This window comes from Homo sapiens, chromosome 1, assembly GCF_000001405.40.
Source record: "Homo sapiens chromosome 1, GRCh38.p14 Primary Assembly".
Lineage (NCBI taxonomy): Eukaryota > Metazoa > Chordata > Mammalia > Primates > Hominidae > Homo > Homo sapiens.
In genome coordinates this window covers 59,373,755-59,391,837 of record NC_000001.11, presented here as the reverse complement: position 1 = coordinate 59,391,837, position 18,083 = coordinate 59,373,755, and the positions used below count along the sequence as shown (strand labels likewise).

Sequence of the window (18,083 nt, the reverse complement as noted above, 5' to 3'; positions counted from 1 at the left end):
ATTAAATTCCAAAAGTGATTCAAGGTCTCAGAGAAAATTGTTCAGTAAAGGAAAAGCTATACTGCTGCTCAGTTGGAAAATGACAGTCATGCTAGAGATCATCTTTCAGCCACATAAAATCCACATCTAGACGTACACAGCAGAGAACTGGGGAAAAAGCTTTATAGAAATGGAACAGATTCAGACTAGTGGTTCTCAGTGAAGAGTGCACATCATAATCGTCGAGGTCACACAGTTTTACCCTTTCCTCCAAAGGACAAAGATGGGGCTTCTCACCCTTTTCTATCCAGATTTGCTTTACTAATGAAAAGAGAAAGAAGCAACCTCAACCTTCCTCAGACTTTGCCTCAATGTAGCAGAGAGGGACAGTCAGTGATGTAACAAGTGAGTACAAGTGCAAGGCACAGTCCCTGAGAACCTGTGCCTTAACTCATGCTTCTCATGATGTTAGCACCTCCTACTTCCTCCTACTCCCTCCGACTCCCCCACTGCCTCCAGCCCGACTGACCCAGCATGCTTCATCCTCTCTCGCCCTCCCTGGACTTTAAGCCTCTGAACTCAGGTTGGGCTGGCCTGAAATCTCCTGGGCACCTACCCATTTCTTCACCCCCACAATGTCTCTGAGACCCCTCAGTGGATGACTCTCTCCACAGGTAGCCAAAATCAAATCCCAAGCCAGGGAGGAGGTGGAGAAAAAGGTCATCGAACCACAGGTTTACTAGGTTTCTAAATGGTCCCTCTTCCTCACCCCATCCACAAGCTATTTAACTGAGTTCGGATTTATCTTAAAAGTGGCAGAGCAAAACTTTGAACTAAGGATTATTTGGCTCTTATACGGGTTTGAATAGTCAAATACATGTGTACCTATCAATTACTGGATTAGGGAGAGAATGCCTCACAGATGCTTTACTAATATATATGTAAGGAATAAGTGAATGAATGAATGTATTAATGAATAATGAAACTTGTGAGTTACATTGCTCAGATTATATACTATCTCCCTCATGATCACCACCTTCTCCCTTTACCTTGTGACTATCATTGGACTATAAATTGGTGTCTGTGATACTGGTCAATGTAAATTGCTGAGAAATTATGATTTTGAGTGTCTTTTTACCCACCCCATATCAATTCTCCCTTTTTATTTAGTAAGAAAACCCCAATATTTGGATAGGAAGACACCCAGATAAAAGCCTACACTGCCCCGATTCCCCTTCACCTCAGTTTGATTATAAACCTAGCTGCTGGTCAATAATATACAAGCACAAGTATGACGTAGATCTTCTAAGAAGATTGTTTAAAGAAGGCTCACTCCAATGTGAGGCACATCCTTTGTATGCACCACACCCACTTCCTTCTTCCTGCTACATGGACTGTGGACTTGATAATGGAAACTTCAACCGCCATCTTGGACCATGAGGTGATCTTGAAAATAGAACTCAGGACTAAAAAACATCAAAAAAGCTAGTGTCCTTGATGACTTTATGGGGAAATCACAGTAGCCCAAGACTCCATATATCTATATTTATTCACAGGAAAGAATGAGCCCTTATGTGTTTAAGTAACTGTTATTTTGAAATGCCTATTATTTCTACTATCATTAGTGAAGAGATAAGGATATTTCTTCTGTAGAGAGTGAAAACACTCTTCTTTCTCAAAAATAAGGGTAAAGAATATCTAATATTTACTGGTTATTTCTCAGCACTATTAAATATACTAAAAAATAAGCTGGTGAGAGAGGATGACTGAATCCTTCCTAGAACTTAGAAGAGCTGCTTTAAATACCACTGTTCTGAGAAATCATCCTTCAACACAACCATAAAACAATGCAAATCAAGGAGCTTTAGCATCAAGCACATCAGAAGTAACTGTGCTTCTCCCCTTACTCTCAGACACCTTTAATTTTTAATTTTATGACACTCCCTGGGGTATCCTTGCCAAAAAAAGTTACTTCTAGGATGATATAAATTCAATCAATTTTACTTTCATCCCACAGATTTCTAGTATTTTAAAAAATCAATTCTTAAACCACAATAAGAGACTACTTTATATCTACTACAATGGGTATAATTTTTTTAAAGGAGAGGGAAATAAGAGCTGGGGAGGATGTGGAGGAATTAGAACTTTCATATATTTCTGGTGGGAATGTAAAATGGAGCAGCCATAGTGGAAACATCTGGTGGTTCCTCACCAAGCTAAACTTAGAATGACCCTATGGAACCAGTAATTTCACTCCTTAGATATACACCAAAAAGAACTAAAAGCAGAGACCCAAAGATACTTATATACCAATGTTCGCCACAGCATCATTGACAATAGCCAAAAGGTAGAAACGATGCAAATGTCCACCAACAGGTCCATTTGGACAAGATGAATGGACAAGCAAAATGTAGTATATGCACACAATAGGATGTGATTATTCAGTCATAAAAAAGAAAGGCTGACACATGCTCCAGCATAGACACACCTTGAAAACATTATGTTAAGTGAAATATGCCAGACGCAAAAGGATAAATACTATATAAGTCTACTTAAATGGGGTATCTGGAATAGGCAAATTCATAGCAGACATAAAGTAGATTAGAGTTTAAGAGGGGAGAGGGAGGGATAAAAATAGTAAAGTTTTTATCTGTTCACTCAGCCGTGGGCGGATCACAAGGTCAGGAGTTCAAGACCTGCCTAACCAATATGGTGAAACCCTGTCTCTACTAAAAATACAAAAATTAGTCAGGTGTGGTGGCACACACCTGTAGTCCCAGCTACTCAGTAGGCTAAGGCAGGAGAATCGCTTGAACCCTGGAGGCAGAGGTTGCAGTGAGCCAAAATTACGACACTGCACTCCGGCCTGGGCGACAGAGCAAGACCCTGTCTAAAAAAAAGAGGGGATAGGTAAAGAGGGAAATGGGGAGTTATTATTTAATAGTAGCAGCTTCCGTTTGGGGTGATAAATAAGTTTTAGAAATAGATAGTGGTAATGACTGCACACCATGAGGAATGTAATTCATGACACTGAATTATATACCTAAAAATAATTAAAATGGCAAATTTTATGCTATATGTATTATTAAAATTAATAAAAATAAGTAATGTAATCTGCAAAAATCATTGAATAGTATACTTTAAATTAGTGAATCATATAGTATGTGAATTATATGTAATTATGTATACTATATACATCTAAAGATGTTTTCTAAAAAAATCAACTCTTATCTCAGATATACTAATGAGACAGGAGATGAAGAGGCCAAGTACCAAGGAAGGGATGTGGACTGTAGTCACCACAGGCAGGCACGTATTAAGGTGCAAGTTTCTCCCTTCTTCTCCTGCTGCTGCCTCTGCTCTCTGGGGAGAATGAGACTTCCACCCGACCTCCTCTCTCCACTCAGAGAAGCACCAGAGACACAGAGTTGACTTTGCACCCCATCCTCTTACTCAATTTTCTCCAAGACGGTAAGGGAAATTCATGTAATCATTAAGAGACTGGAATAGATTAAGCCACATTTTAAGGGTCACTGTGTTAAAGAAAAGGTGATAATAATGAGCTCACACTTTCACCTCCTATGCCCAAGTGTGACCAGCATGGCTTCCCACTGCCATGTGGTAATCATACCCAAGCAGGTCTGGATTCATATTGCTAAGCTGCTAGACTTGAGATAGGGTTGGCAAATCGGGTCTTCCTTCCTGCCCCAACTCCTATGTATGTACACATACCTGAACATGCAGACGGGGTTTAACTGCACTTCTGAGCTGTATTATCCATCTAGTATATTAGAAGTTCTATACACTAGAGGCTAAAGAGTATTTTCTGAGATAATAAGACAACTTTTCACTCCTCATTTAGCTAATATGTTTTAATGTAGTCTCTATCAGTCAGAACTCCAATAGCAAGAAAGAGTGAGTGGCCCTCTGAATCCTTAACAGCAGGGATACCTGTAAGGGAGTATGAGGATTAATTTTAATTGCCTTAAGTGTGATAATGATGTTGTGGTTATAAAGGAAAATGTTGTTAGTATTGGCTGATCAGGTGGAGAATACTGTGAGGTCTGCAATTTATTTACAAATGGTTCAGCAAAATAATTACAGGTCTGTGTGTCAGAGGTAGGTAAGGTGTGCACTAAAGAGCACAAAAGTAATAAAATGTTAGCAACTGATTAACGTAGGTAAAAGGTATAAGGGTGTTCAATATGCCATTCTCTCAAGTTTTCTGTAGGTTTAAATTTTTCTGGAAATTATACTGCAAAAAAATTTTTTTTTAAATTCTCACCAAAATTGAAGAAAACACTGAACTCCCAATACAAATATTAGCAATTGACATAAACATCATTGAAATATATAACACTAATTGTCATAATTAGTAATTGACAATGACATACATAAATAAGTGGTTGATAAATATAAGAAAAATTAATTGCATTCAATAATCAAAAATGCAAATTAAAATAAGATCCCATTTCAAGCCCAAACCCTTGACAAAATTGATACTGACATAGGATAGGATACTATACAGATGTCAAAAATATTTTTATACATTAATATGAAAAATACAACATATTAAGTAAAAAAATAAGTTGTACAAAGCATATTTCCAATTTTTTAACAAAAGAAAAATCAGTAGAATAAGAGTCTAAATAATGGTTTTGTATTTGAGATCCTATGAATTGTATTTAGAAAATGACTACAGATCAATAACCCAACATAATCATCTCCTGACAGACTGGTAAAAACCCACAAGATGAATAACAATACAATAATATCCCTTATAAACCCAAAACACAGAGAACCACACACATCAGAAACGTAATAATTATTTTAAAGAGACTTCAGTTTCTAAAAGCCATGAATTCATCTCTTTAAAGGAAAAGGTAGAATATTTACTAATAACCCATACAGAATTATACATTATAATGGAGGGGAGAGGAAAAGTAAAATGAGTAAGTAGAATATGTAAATTTAATATAAAGAAATATAAGAAATAATAAACCTAAAATTATAGAAATTCAACCGTTTTCGCATATGCCACAGAAATGTCTCAGAAATTCTAACATTTAACCAGTAAACCAAACTTACTTACAGTGTCTCTTGTTTGTACATAAGAAGCCTTGTAAATAATTTATTTTAGTTCAAAGCCATAAAAAAGGTGAACTGAGACAAGACAAATCTCCCATAAAGAATAATTCAAAGTAATATATGTAGATACTACAGTCTCAAGAAAATGAAGCATAACTACTCCCCACTCCTTATGTGTGGGCTGTGCATAGTGACTTCCTTCCAAAAAGTACAATATGGTGGGGGGTGGGGGGTGGAAGAGTAATTTAGAGTGGAGAAACCTGACAATATCTCAGCCAGGTGATCAAGTTGAACATCAATAGTGTTAAGTTGTGATAAGAGTGTGTTCGCTTGATAGGTTGAGAAAGGTATTTTATCTCTATGGTCTTCCTCCGAAAAACAAACTACCCAAGTCTCACCATGAGAAAACATCAGACAAATTTCAATGGAGGGACATCCAACAATATACATGACCAATACACTTCAAAACTGTCAAGGGTATCAAAAAGAAAGAAAGACGCAGAAACTATCACAGCCAAGAAGAGCCTGAGAAGGCGTGACTAAATGTAACATGGTAAAAAGGCCATTAGGTAAAAACTAAAAAAATCGGAATAAAGTATGGAATTTTATTAATGATAATATATCAATATCAGTCCATTAATTATGACAAATGTATCATAATAATATATTAATGGGAGAAACTGGACATCAAGTATATGGGAATTCTGTAGCGTCTTCACAATTTTTCTATAATCCTAAAACTATTTTAAAATTAAAATTTTGTTCAAAATTATAACTAAATTTAATAGCACATACTTTTAAATAATTTATATTGTCTACCCTTGATCATCTAGGATTAATTTCTCTCAGACTCCCAATGTTAGAAAAAGTTCTACTTCCCTTGAACAGCAGTAAAGTTTTTATCTGTTCACTCAGTTAATCTTGATTAAGCTCTGTCTTTGCTTTGGCCACTAGGAAGCTTGGAAACAAAGTTATTAGTAATTATGAATTCTCTAAAGGTTCTCTAAAGCTCTTAGCTTCAGCTCAGTTATCTTATCATTATTTTCACTCCATTCTGATTTTTTTCTATTTTGTACGACTTTTTCTTATATTATTATTATTAGTCACCTCAAATCTCTTTAGAGGGAGAATTTATACATATATTTTTCTGACTACTAAAAAATTCCTACTATTCAAATGTTTGACTTCCCATTTCTCATGTCATCAAAATTGTAGACAGTAACCCACTTAATAGCAAGAATGTGGCAAATTACTAAAGCATTCTGCTTCAGTTCTTGAATTGCAAAGCGGTAATGACACCACCTGCTGTAAGGATGGTCATGAGGACTAACAGAGTTAACATTTGCTAAATATGCCTAGCACAGATAAAGGAAAGGCACTCAATAAGTGATAATTACCATTATTATTATTAACAAAAATAGCAATAATTATTTTCATTAATATAAGAAAAAGAATGGAGCTGAATTACAAACTAATCATGGGCCAAATGGTGATTTTCTCAGTGACCCAGATAAAGAAAAGTAGCTGCCATATTTCGGAGGATGAGAACAATAAAAGGGGAGAATGGGTAAAAAAACAAAAACAAAACCTGAAAGAGAGGAGAGGAAAATGGAGAAGGAAGAGAGAAAGGGGAGGAGGTGTTCTTACACACTGTCATTGCCAAAAACAAGTTTGAAAGCTTTAAGACAGGGTGAAATTCGATCACTTGTTAGTCTTGACTCTACTAAAACGTATTTTTAAAAAAGACCCTCTAGCCTTTTTGGCAATCATTTTCCCCAAAGCCTCCCAAAATAATCACATGTAAGAGCCAAATAAACACCAAATTTCAATCTCTCCTTGGCCCAGAGGATGCCAAGTTGGTGTTTTATTACCCAAAGTTTTTTTGGAATTGGCATATTCAAATTCAGACCCTCATCTTCCTTACTCTAGAAAAGAGAACAGACAATGTGGATTTTTTTTATTAAAAGAACCCTTTATTGTGTAAAAACAGAGGTTTTACCCAGAGAACTGTTTTAATAGCCCTGAGAGGGCTTATGGATGAGGAAATAAGGCTCAGGGAGGTAAATAATTTGCTCCAGGTTCTTACAGACTGCACATGATGGAGACACTGAAACCAGATCAGTCTGACCACAAGGATTTCCCTCTTTCCTCTATGCTTAATGTAAAGACTCATTGCCAAAACTGATAGAGAAAGGGAACTAAATGAAATCGCTAATACCTTTAAAAAGCTTTCTCAGCATTGTGTTAGAAGCTTTCTCTACAATAACCCCATGGAGCAGGTGTTGTCATTATTTCCATCTACAATCAAGGAAGCTCAGAGGGGTTCCTTGTTTCACCTTGATATGCAAGTAGAAATAGAGAAGGCAGAAATATTGAGTAAATAAGAGAGAGAAACACAGATGCAAGCTGTAAGTGGGCCAAGGGAAAGGGCAACCACCTTTGCAAGAGGAACCTGGTACCCAAGGTCCACAGGCTTTGCTCTCTGGAAGAGAGGGAAATGGGAAGGGAGGTCTCTGAAGGTGCTCACAAGTACGGGGTGGGTGGGGGAACGGGATGATTAATTTATACTAATGAAAATAGAATGAGTCATGAGTGTCACAGCCAATAAAAATGGCAGGGATGATTAGACAGCCAATAAATCATTTCTGAGCATTAAACTTTCTGCTTCCTCAAGGTTTGAGATTGTCAAAGGCAAGGCTAGAAGCCCCCAAGCATGTTCTGATAAGTTAACAAGACGCCCTCCACTTTGTGAACCCAAAAGTATCTGAGACAAATCTCAATCAATTTAGAAAGTTTATTTTCCCAAGGTTAAGGACGCACCCGTGACACAGCCTCAAGAGGTCCTGATGGCAAGTGCTCAAGGTGGTCGGGGCACAGCTTGCTTCTATACATTTTAGGGAGACACGAGACATCAATCAATACATGTAAGGTTAATACTGATTTGATCCGGATGGGTGAGAAAACTCAAAGCAGGGGCTTCCAGATCGTAGGTAGATTTAAAAATTTTCTGATTGACAATTGGTTGAAAGTGTTATTATCAATAGAAAAGAATGTCTGGGTTAGGATAAGGAGTTGTGGAGACCAAGGTTTTAATATGCAGATGAAGCCTCCACTTAGCAGGCTTCAGAGAGAATAGACTGTAAACATTTCTTATGAGACTTAAGGTTTGTTGATGTTAGTATTGGTTGGCTTGTCCTGAATTCCAAAAGGGAGGACTGTATAAGGGGGAATGTCTTACCCACACCCTTCCCATCATGGCCTGAACTGGTTTTTCAGGTTAAATTTGGAATGCCTTTGGCCAAGAGAAGGGGTCCATTCAGATGGCGGGGGGCCTTAGAATTTTATTTTTTGTTTACAACTTTTAAATTCAAAAAATTCATTAGGCCTTTAAAACACTTCCAATCTCTCACTCAGTGTCACATCCTACCTTCATGTATATTCTGTTAGGCAGTGTTGTCCAAAGTTACCTGATCATATACTACCTAGGCACTTGTTAACATACAAATTCCCACATCTCCCATGGAGATTCTGATTCATTAGGCTGAAAACTAGAAGACCTGGGGATACATGTTTTGAACAAATCATTCAGGTAATTCCTATACTCCAACTAATTTGGAAAAATTGCTTTAATAGGATTCTCACAAGAACTTTGCAAAATAGGTATAACAATCTCCATGCTATAGACAAAAAGAGTGACAATCAAAGAAGGGAAGAGACTTGCCCAAGGTCACACAACTAGTGTGGCAAAATCAAAGCCGGTAAGTCATATTGTTAGTCCACCGTGTGTATGCATGCCACCACACTTTATCTGAGCCACAGCTAACTTCAAAAAGCCCTCTCCTTGGTGCCTGAATATGGCACCGGAAACCAGGAAATGGGACACAGAATACCCAGAGCCATCAGAAAGAATCAGGGAGGCAGTCAAAGTGCTGAGTAAAATGTCAAAGAAAAAGAGAAGGAAAGCCACGTTCTCCTCCATCTCTTGTTCCAGCTTTGAGTCCTCTGGATTTGCAGGCCAATGGGGTATTGCCCATACACATGACAACTAGCACTGCTTGACTAACAAACAAGACCATTTGGCCAAAATGATCAAAACATTTCTTTCACGGATGTACAATGATGAAAAAACCTAGAGAAAGATTCTCTCAGAAATAACTTTGAACAATTAACATCACACCAAAAGAGGAATGCCCAAGATGATATCCTCACCTACACACTGCCCTCCCCACTGATGATAACCATAATGGTGACTAATTACACCTTCCAGGGTAAAGTTGAGAACACTCCTCCAGGGACCTCCTGCCAGAGATGGCATGTACCTGAGGTTTGCAGAGGCCATTTTCACAAGCATATGCATCTCTCTGCCCCAGGACCTTTGGCTAATGATTGTTTCACCGCAAGGAGGTTCGGGGTTGCTGACATTAAGAATGACATGCTTCTGAAATGTTCTCTGCTGTCTCCCTGCTGGAAGCCCCCGCTGCTGAATTATCACACCCTATCAACTCACTACAAAAAAGAATGAGATAGGAGAAATGGTACTGCTATTTCCCGCTTCCCTTGAATTCAAACAAGAAGGAAAGAGGGTAAGATCTGACCCCTCTCTGAATAAGCTGATTTTAAGATACAATACCTGCCTCCCTAATTACTAGAGGTTTATCTATCCTCTGGGAAATGATTCCCTTCTTCACAGGTTTGTTCAACCCAGATTCTAAATCTTTTTCAAGATGAGAAGACCTGCCTTGACCTTAGGCATCTCCTTAAATCTGAGGTCATCATGACAAGAGGCTCGTCATACTTAAAGATTTCATGTCCAACCTGTCTATGTAACCCCACACATACACTCACTCTGTTAATTATAGTAGCCACAATTTCACACTCAATGAGTATTTTATACAAGTCTCTATTGTGTAGCATATGCTCTATTTTTAACATTCATAACTTACTGAAAAATAGTTGTTGACTTCAACATATATACTTCTACAGTATGGGATAACTGAGGTACATTTACATAAAAAGCAAACAAGTACATAACACATCCATCCAGCTGAATCAGCTTCCTTGAAAAATGTATCTCCTAGTTAATATTAGAGGCCAAAATATACACACACACACACACACACACACACACACACACACACACACGAGTTATACATCACACAATGACATTCCAGTCAATAACAGACTGCATATATGACAGTGGTCCCATAAGATATTAATGGAGCTGAAAAATTCCTATCACCTAGTGACATCTTGATGATCCTGACCCTGTGTAGGCCTTGGATAATGTGTATGTTTGTATCTCAGCTTTTAACAGAAAAGTTTAAAAAGTGAAAAAAAAGTTAATAGAAAAAAGCTTATTGAATCAATATTGTGAAAATGGCCATACCGCCCAAGGTAATTTATAGATTCAATGCCATCCCCATCAAGCTACCAATGACTTTCTTCACAGAATTGGAAAAAAACTACTTTAAAGTTCACATGGAACCGAAAACGAGCCCACATTGCCAAGACAATCCTAAGCCAAAAGAACAAAGCTGGAGGCATCACGTTACCTGACTTCAAACTATATTACAAGGCTACAGTAACCAAAACAGCATGGTACTGGTACCAAAACAGAGATATAGACCAATGGAAAAGAACAGAGCCCTCAGAAATAATGCCACATATCTACAACCATCTGATCTTTGACAAACCTGAGAAAAACAAGAAATGGGGAAAGGATTCCCTATTTAATAAATGGTGCTGGGAAAACTGGCTAGCCATATGGAGAAAGCTGAAACTGGATTCCTTCCTTACACCCTATACAAAAATTAATTCAAGATGGATTAAAGACTTACATGTTAGAACTAAAACCATAAAAACCCTAGAAGAAAGCCAGGCAATACCATTCAGGACATAGGCATGGGCAAGGACTTCATGTCTAAAACACCAAAAGCAATGGCAACAAAAGCCAAAATTGACAAATGGGATCTCATTAAACTAAAGAGCTTCTGGACAGCAAAAGAAACTACCATCAGAGTGAACAGGCAACTTACAGAATGGGAGAAAATTTTTGCAATCTACTCATCTGACAAAGGACTAATATCCAGAATCTACAAAGAACTCAAACAAATTTACAAGAAAAACACAACCCCATCAAAAAGGGGGCAAAGGATATGAACAGACACTTCTCAAAAGAAGACATTTATGCAGCCAGAAGACACATGAAAAAATGCTCATCATCACTGGCCATCAGAGAAATGCAAATCAAAACCACAATGAGATATCATCTCACACCAGTTAGGATGGCGATCTTTAAAAAGTCAGGAAACAACAGGTGCCGGAGAGGATGTGGAGAAATGGGAACACTTTTACACTGTTGGTGGGACTGTAAACTAGTTCAACCATTGTGGAAGTCAGTGTGGCGATTCCTCAGGGATCTAGAACTAGAAATACCATTTGACCCAGCCATTCCATTACTGGGTATATACCCAAAGGATTATAAATCATGCTGCTATAAAGACACATGCACATGTATGTTTATTGTGGCACTATTCACAATAGCAAAGACTTGGAATCAACCCAAATGTCCATGAATGATAGACTGGATTAAGAAAATGTGGCACATATACACCATGGAATACTATGCAGCCATAAGAAAGGATGAGTTCATGTCCTTTGGAGGGACACGGATGAAGCTGGAAACCATCATTCTCAGCAATCTATCGCAAGGACAAAAAACCAGACACTGCATGTTCTCACTCATAGGTGGGAATTGAACAATGAGAACACATGGACACAGGAAGGGGAACATCACACACTGGGGCCTGTTGTGGGGTGGGGAGGCGGGGGATAGCATTAGGAGATATACCTCATGTAAATGACGAGTTAATGGGTGCAGCACACCAACATGGCACATGTATACATAATTAACAAACCTGCAGGTTGTGCACATGTACCCTAGAACTTAAAGTATAATGAAAAAAAAAGAAAAAAGCATATTGAATAAGAATACAAAGAAAATATTTTTGTACAGCTGTATAATGTGTTTGTGTTTTAAGATAAGTGTTATTACAAAAAAGTCAAAAAGTTTAAAAGTTTATGAAGTAAAAAATGTTACAGTAAGCAAAGGATAATTATTAAACAAATTTTTAAAATAAATTTAGTGTAGCTTACAGGTACAGTGTTTATAAAGTCTATAGAAGTGTACAGTAATATCCTAGGCCTCTGCATTCAATCACCACTCACTCACTGACTCACCCAGAGAAACTTCTAGTCCTGCAAGTTTCATTCATTGTAAGTGCCCTATATGAGTATACTACTTTTTATCTTTTACATTGTATTTTTATGATATCTTTTCTATGTTTAGATATACAAATAAGTACCACTGTGCACAATGGCCTACAGTATTCAGTACAGTAACATGCTCTACAGGTTTGTAGCCAAGCAGCAATAGGCTATACCATACAGCCTAGGTATGTAGTAGAATACACTATCTAGATTTGTGAAAGTATACTCTATGATGTTTGCAACAATAATGAAATTGCCTAACAACACATTCTCTGAATGTATCCCTGTCCTTAAGGAATGCGTGACTCTGTGTGTGTGTGTGTGTGTGTGTGTGTGTGTTTATTTTTTCCTTTTATTCATCATGTAAAAAGTGCCTTTGGAAAAATCCACATTTCACTCTGGATTTTTCATATCTCCTTCAAATATGACCAATTTTAATGAATGGTCTTCACCTTGGATACTCACATTCCAGGGCTCTTAGGAACAACAGTGTTTGGGCATGTGCAGTGGAGGTCGAAGATAGATTCAAGATGTTTCATGTATGCAAAATCACATGCAGATGTACCAAAAGTATATCCAGTCAAAGAGAGTTAAGAAAGCAATATATAGACAGACATCCAAGAATGGAAGAACGCAAACACAATCCAACTTGTAATTAACATACCGTGCTGTGACACCTGTTGCCTTCCACGATAAGAAGTCCGGGAGATCAAAGAAATGTCCCGCCTTATCCCAGCAAATCTCTCTCAAGTTCTGCCAAATTAAATATATATTAGAATCAATTAGGGGGTTTTTCTACCATCTCCTCTTTCAATAATGTTTCAAATTTTTCAAAACAAAAGCATAGCCAACAATGCCCATTGAAACATCTGTTCAGGAGCTTGGTGGGGGTAGGAATAATATAAAAGCAGTACTTATACAGGAAAGAAAAACTGACAATGCTTGATCCTTCCAAAAATGATCGTAATTTCCCTTAAAACCCTCTTTGCCAACCTGGAAGGATAGAAAGCTGTGTTAGTCCATTTTCACACTGCTGATAAAGACATACCCGAGACTGGGTAATTTTAAAGAAAAATAGGTTTAATGGACTCACAGTTTCGCGTGGCTGGGGAGGCCTCACAATCGTGGCAGCAGACCACAGAGAGAAATGAGAGCCCAGAGAAAGGGAAAACCTCTTATAAAACCATCAGATCTTGTGAGACTTACTCACTACCACGAGAACAGCATGGGGAAAACTGCCCTCATGATTCAATTATCTCCCACCAGGTCCCTCCCACAACATGAGAGAATTATGGGAGCTACAATTGAAGATGAAATTTGGGTGGGGACACAGCCAAACCATATCAAAAGCACAGTCTGTAAGGTATGCAATCCATTTTCCCAGTGAATGGTGATGGACATATAAGATTTCAGAGCAGATATAAGCTGGAAAGAAGCTGTACTCAGAAACTGCCCAATGAAACTAAATGTCCCCTGCCATATAAAATTCTCCACATGCCAACTGGTTACAAAGGCAATAGAAAAAAGATGATAGTCCCTGCCCTCAAAGAACTTCCAGTCTAAGTCAAAGAGAATGGCCACATAAGCAAGCCATTGTACATTTTAAAGATTTGGTTCTCTGTATTGCAAAATGGCCAGGCTTTTTCTTACTGCTGGGCATTTTCTTTACTTTGCCACTTCTGCCTAAAACATTCATTCCTCACCCACCACCCTGTGCCCTCCCAGGATCAACATCATCCCCTTCCTCATTTGGTTAACCCTACACACCACCATTCCTTGAGGGGGTTTCCAGGATCTCCTGGAAATCAAAGCCGGTAAGTCATATTGTTAGTTTAGGTCTAGTTGTCATACAACCCATACCACCCCCACAATCATTTGTGTAATGTTGATATGGTTTGGCTGTGTCTTCACTCAAATCTCATCTTGAATCGTAGTTCCCATAATCCCCAAGTGTCATAGGAGGTACCCTGTAGGAGGTAATTGAATCATGGGAGTGGTTACCTCCATGCTGTTCTCATGATAGCGAGTGAGTTCTCACAAGATCTCATGGTTTTATAAGGGGCTTCCCCTGCTTTCACTCTGCACTTCTCTCTCCTGCCACCAAATACAGAAGGATGTGTTTGCTTCTCCTTCCACCATGATTGTAAGTTTCCTGAGGCCTCCCCAGCCATGCTGAACTGTGAGTCAATTAAATCTCTTTCCTTTATAAATTACCCAGTCTCGGGTATGTTTTTATTAGCAGTGTAAGACCAGACTAATACAAAAGTCTTTCTTTCCTGACAGACTGACTATAAGCTCTGTGAGGTCAAGGATCTTGTCAGTCATGTTCACCATGACATTGGATGATTGTCTCCTCTTCTCCACCCCAACTGAGAGGACCCTCAGCTGCCAAGCAGAAACTACTTAACTCTCATCCCCTTACTACAAGCACTTGGTTGGACCAGGTTTAGGCATGTGACCTAGTTGTACCAACCAGATTTCTTCTCCCAAGAACTTAGAATCAGGACCCAAATGGAACCATTTCACTTCTGCCTATGAATGGAACTGGAGGTGAGATAAACTTGAAAAGCATGAAGTGGCCATTTTCTGTCAAACACCTGAAGAGGTAGAATTTCAAAAACAGAATAGTAAAGAAGACAGAGGAACTAGCAAGAAAGGTTTCCTACCATCCAGATAACTTTCCATGTCCTGGTTTCTATTACTCCCTCTCCAAAAAGCTATAAAAGGAATTATAAGCATAGGAGTATCTCTGGGAACCTAAAGGCAACAATGCAGAAGTTCCAAAAGAGGCATATTTCAGTACCTGCCGCAGGGTAACACACAGTAGGAACTCAATAAATATTTGTTGAATTACTAGACAAACTGCTCAGCTTCACCTTCCAATTCCTCTTATGTGAGGGGTGCTTCAGTTTATAAAGGGCTTCCACATGTGTTATCTCCTTAGAGCAACACAAAAGTCCTGGGTATTATTATATCTATTTTATATACAACTGGCCTTTATCAGAATTCTGTGAGTTCCTCCTACATAGTGCTTCCCTAACACTACTATATAAACACCAACATCTATTTACAGCAGATAAACGGTACTATCCCAAGTGCTGGCCCTATCAAAACAATATCAAAAGAGTTCAGATCTAAAAGGCAAAGTATCAAGCTGATTCTCTGTTACTGTTGTTGTTTTAACTTCCTAAACATCTAGGTGAAAGCTTGTGTCTAGAAAGGGACCTGCCCTAAACTTCTCTTTGAACGCCCATTCTAAGATGTTAATGTTAAATCAAGCAAAACTTAAAGATACTAAATATTCCTAACACAGCTAAGAACTAGTAGTATCTCTGTATAGGATCTAACAAGCCACAGTCAGAAAATGGTAGCCTTTGAGACGATGTGAATCAAACTACCAGAATGGCTTTTGGCTAGTCCCTGAAATCTATTTCCATATGTCTTGTGGTTTCAGCAATCAGTGGTCAGGGAGAGGAGAAAAGGCAGCCTCTTTCTAAAGGTTCCAGAAATCAAAGGCCAGTGACCAGATATGAACCGCCAAACCACCGCAGCAACAACCAGTGCTTCAAGCCAAAGCACAACAATCTTCTTAAATTCAGGCAAAAAAAAAAAAAAAAAAAAACTACTTTAGATCTTGTGTGTGGTCATTAAAGACATTATATAACGACAGCTTTTAGCCTGTAGCCACACAGCCAGCCACTGTGGGACAACAGAACCCAAGTAGAATGTCACAAAGAACTCAAGCCTTTTGCCAAAAAGAGACACTGGGAATAGGAGGAGCAAGGAGTCCCTGCGTTCTTTCTTTTTGAGACCACACTAACCGTCACCAATCAAAGCTGGAGATCCCAGTCCAACCTCTCCTCTCTAAGGAGATAACACATGTGGAAGCCCTCTATAACCTCTGAAGTACTCCTCACATAACAGGAACTGGAAGATGAAGCTGAGCAGTTTGTCTAGTAATTCAACAAATATTTGTGGGATGAGCAACTAGAAATAACATGTTGTGGGAAGTCTGAGGTACTCTTAAGTATGCACATGGTCTCAGAAGGGAAGATAGCAATATTCCCTGCTTTCTCTACAAAAGAAAAGTCTGGAGATAGGCCAGCAAAGAGGAATAAGGACTGAATGAGAGGAAATGTCTCCAGAAGCCTGATCCCTTACCTTGAGATGCCAGCAGGCATCTGTGAGGATCCCATGCAGTTTTTTTTTGTTTGTTTCTTTTTTTTTTTTTTTTTTCTTTTTTGAGATGGAGTCTCACTCTATCGCCAGGCTGGAGTGTAGTGGTGCGATCTCAGCTCACTGCAACCTCTGCACCCCGGGTTCAAGAGATTCTCCTGCCTCAGCCTCCCGAGTAGCTGGGAACACAGGTGCATGCCACCACACCCTGCCATTTTTTTTTTTTTTGATGAAAACTAGGTGGATTTTTTTTTATTATTATTATACTTTAAGTTTTAGGGTACATGTGCACAATGTGCAGGTTAGTTACCTGTGTATACATGTGACATGCTGGTGCGCTGCACCCACTAACTCGTCATCTAGCATTAGGTATATCTCACAATGCTATCCCTCCCCCCTCCCCCCTCCCCCCACCCCACAACAGTCCCCAGAGTGTGATGTTCCCCTTCCTGTGACCATGTGTTCCCATTGTTCAATTCCCACCTATGAGTGAGAATATGCGGTGTTTGGTTTTTTGTTCTTGCGATAGTTTACTGAGAATGATGATTTCCAATTTCATCCATGCCCCTACAAAGGACATGATGTGAACTCAACATTTTTATGGCTGCATAGTATTCCATGGTGTATATGTGCCACATTTTCTTAATCCAGTCTATCATTGTTGGACATTTGGGTTGGTTCCAAGTCTTTCCTATTGTGAACAGTGCCGCAATAAACATACGTGTGCATGTGTCTTTATAGCAGCATGATTTATAGTCCTTTGGGTATATACCCAGTAATGGGATGGCTGGGTCAAATGGTATTTCTAGTTCTAGATCCCTGAGGAATCGCCACACTGACTTCCACAATGGTTCAACTAGTTTACAGTCCCAACAACAGTGTAAAAGTGTTCCTATTTCTCCACATCCTCTCCAGCACCTGTTGTTTCCTGACTTTTTAAAGATCACCATTCTAACTGGTGTGAGATGATATCTCATTGTGGTTTTGATTTGCATTTCTCTGATGGCCAGTGATGGTGAGCATTTTTTCATGTGGTTTCTGGCTGCATAAATGTCTTCTTTTGAGAAGTGTCTGTTCATGTCCTGCACCCACTTTTTGATGGGGTTGCTTGTTTTTTTCTTGTAAATTTGTTTGAGTTCATTGTAGATTCTGGATATTAGCCCTTTGTCAGATGAGTAGGTTGTGAAAATTTTCTGCCATTTTGTGGGTTGCCTGTTCACTCTGATGGTAGTTTCTTTTGCTGTGCAGAAGCTCTTTAGTTTAATGAGATCCCATTTGTCAATTCTGGCTTTTGTTGCCATTGCTTTTGGTGTTTTAGACATGAAGTCCTTGCCCATGCCTATGTCCTGAATGGTATTGCCTGGGTTTCTTCTAGGGTTTTTATGGTTTTAGGTCTAACGTTTAAGTCTTTAATCCATCTTGAATTAATTTTTGTATAGGGTGTAAGGAAGGGATCCAGTTTCAGCTTTCTCCTGGCTAGCCAGTTTTCCCAGCACCATTTATTAAATAGGGAATCCTTTCCCCATTGCTTGTTTTTCTCAGGTTTGTCAAAGATCAGATAGTTGTAGATA

At 38.7% G+C, this 18,083-nt stretch overlaps 1 protein-coding gene across 53 annotated transcripts in view, besides 1 other annotated feature; it reads right to left on the bottom strand.

Moving 5' to 3' along the window:
• FGGY (FGGY carbohydrate kinase domain containing) overlaps positions 1 to 18,083 on the bottom strand; it is a 466,353-nt gene that overhangs the window by 370,893 nt on the left and 77,377 nt on the right. For 52 of the 53 annotated variants that reach the window (XR_007061929.1, NR_103473.2, XR_007061930.1 and 49 more), the window contains one exon: positions 13,001 to 13,089. Coding sequence is in view for 49 of the 53 variants with exons in the window: in XM_011541731.2 (XP_011540033.1) it covers positions 13,001 to 13,089 (89 nt within the window). In the remaining 4 variants the exon portion in view is untranslated. Of the gene's footprint in view, positions 1 to 13,000; positions 13,090 to 16,497; positions 16,559 to 18,083 lie in introns of those variants that run through there. The other variant, XM_047424399.1, reaches the window with a different exon arrangement.
• Positions 7,254 to 7,454: a silencer, noted in NCBI's record as "peak254 fragment used in MPRA reporter construct". NCBI's record gives its function as "represses an SCP1 promoter by STARR-seq MPRAs in K562 erythroleukemia cells {active_cell/tissue: K562}" and the evidence as "EXISTENCE:reporter gene assay evidence [ECO:0000049][PMID:32103011]".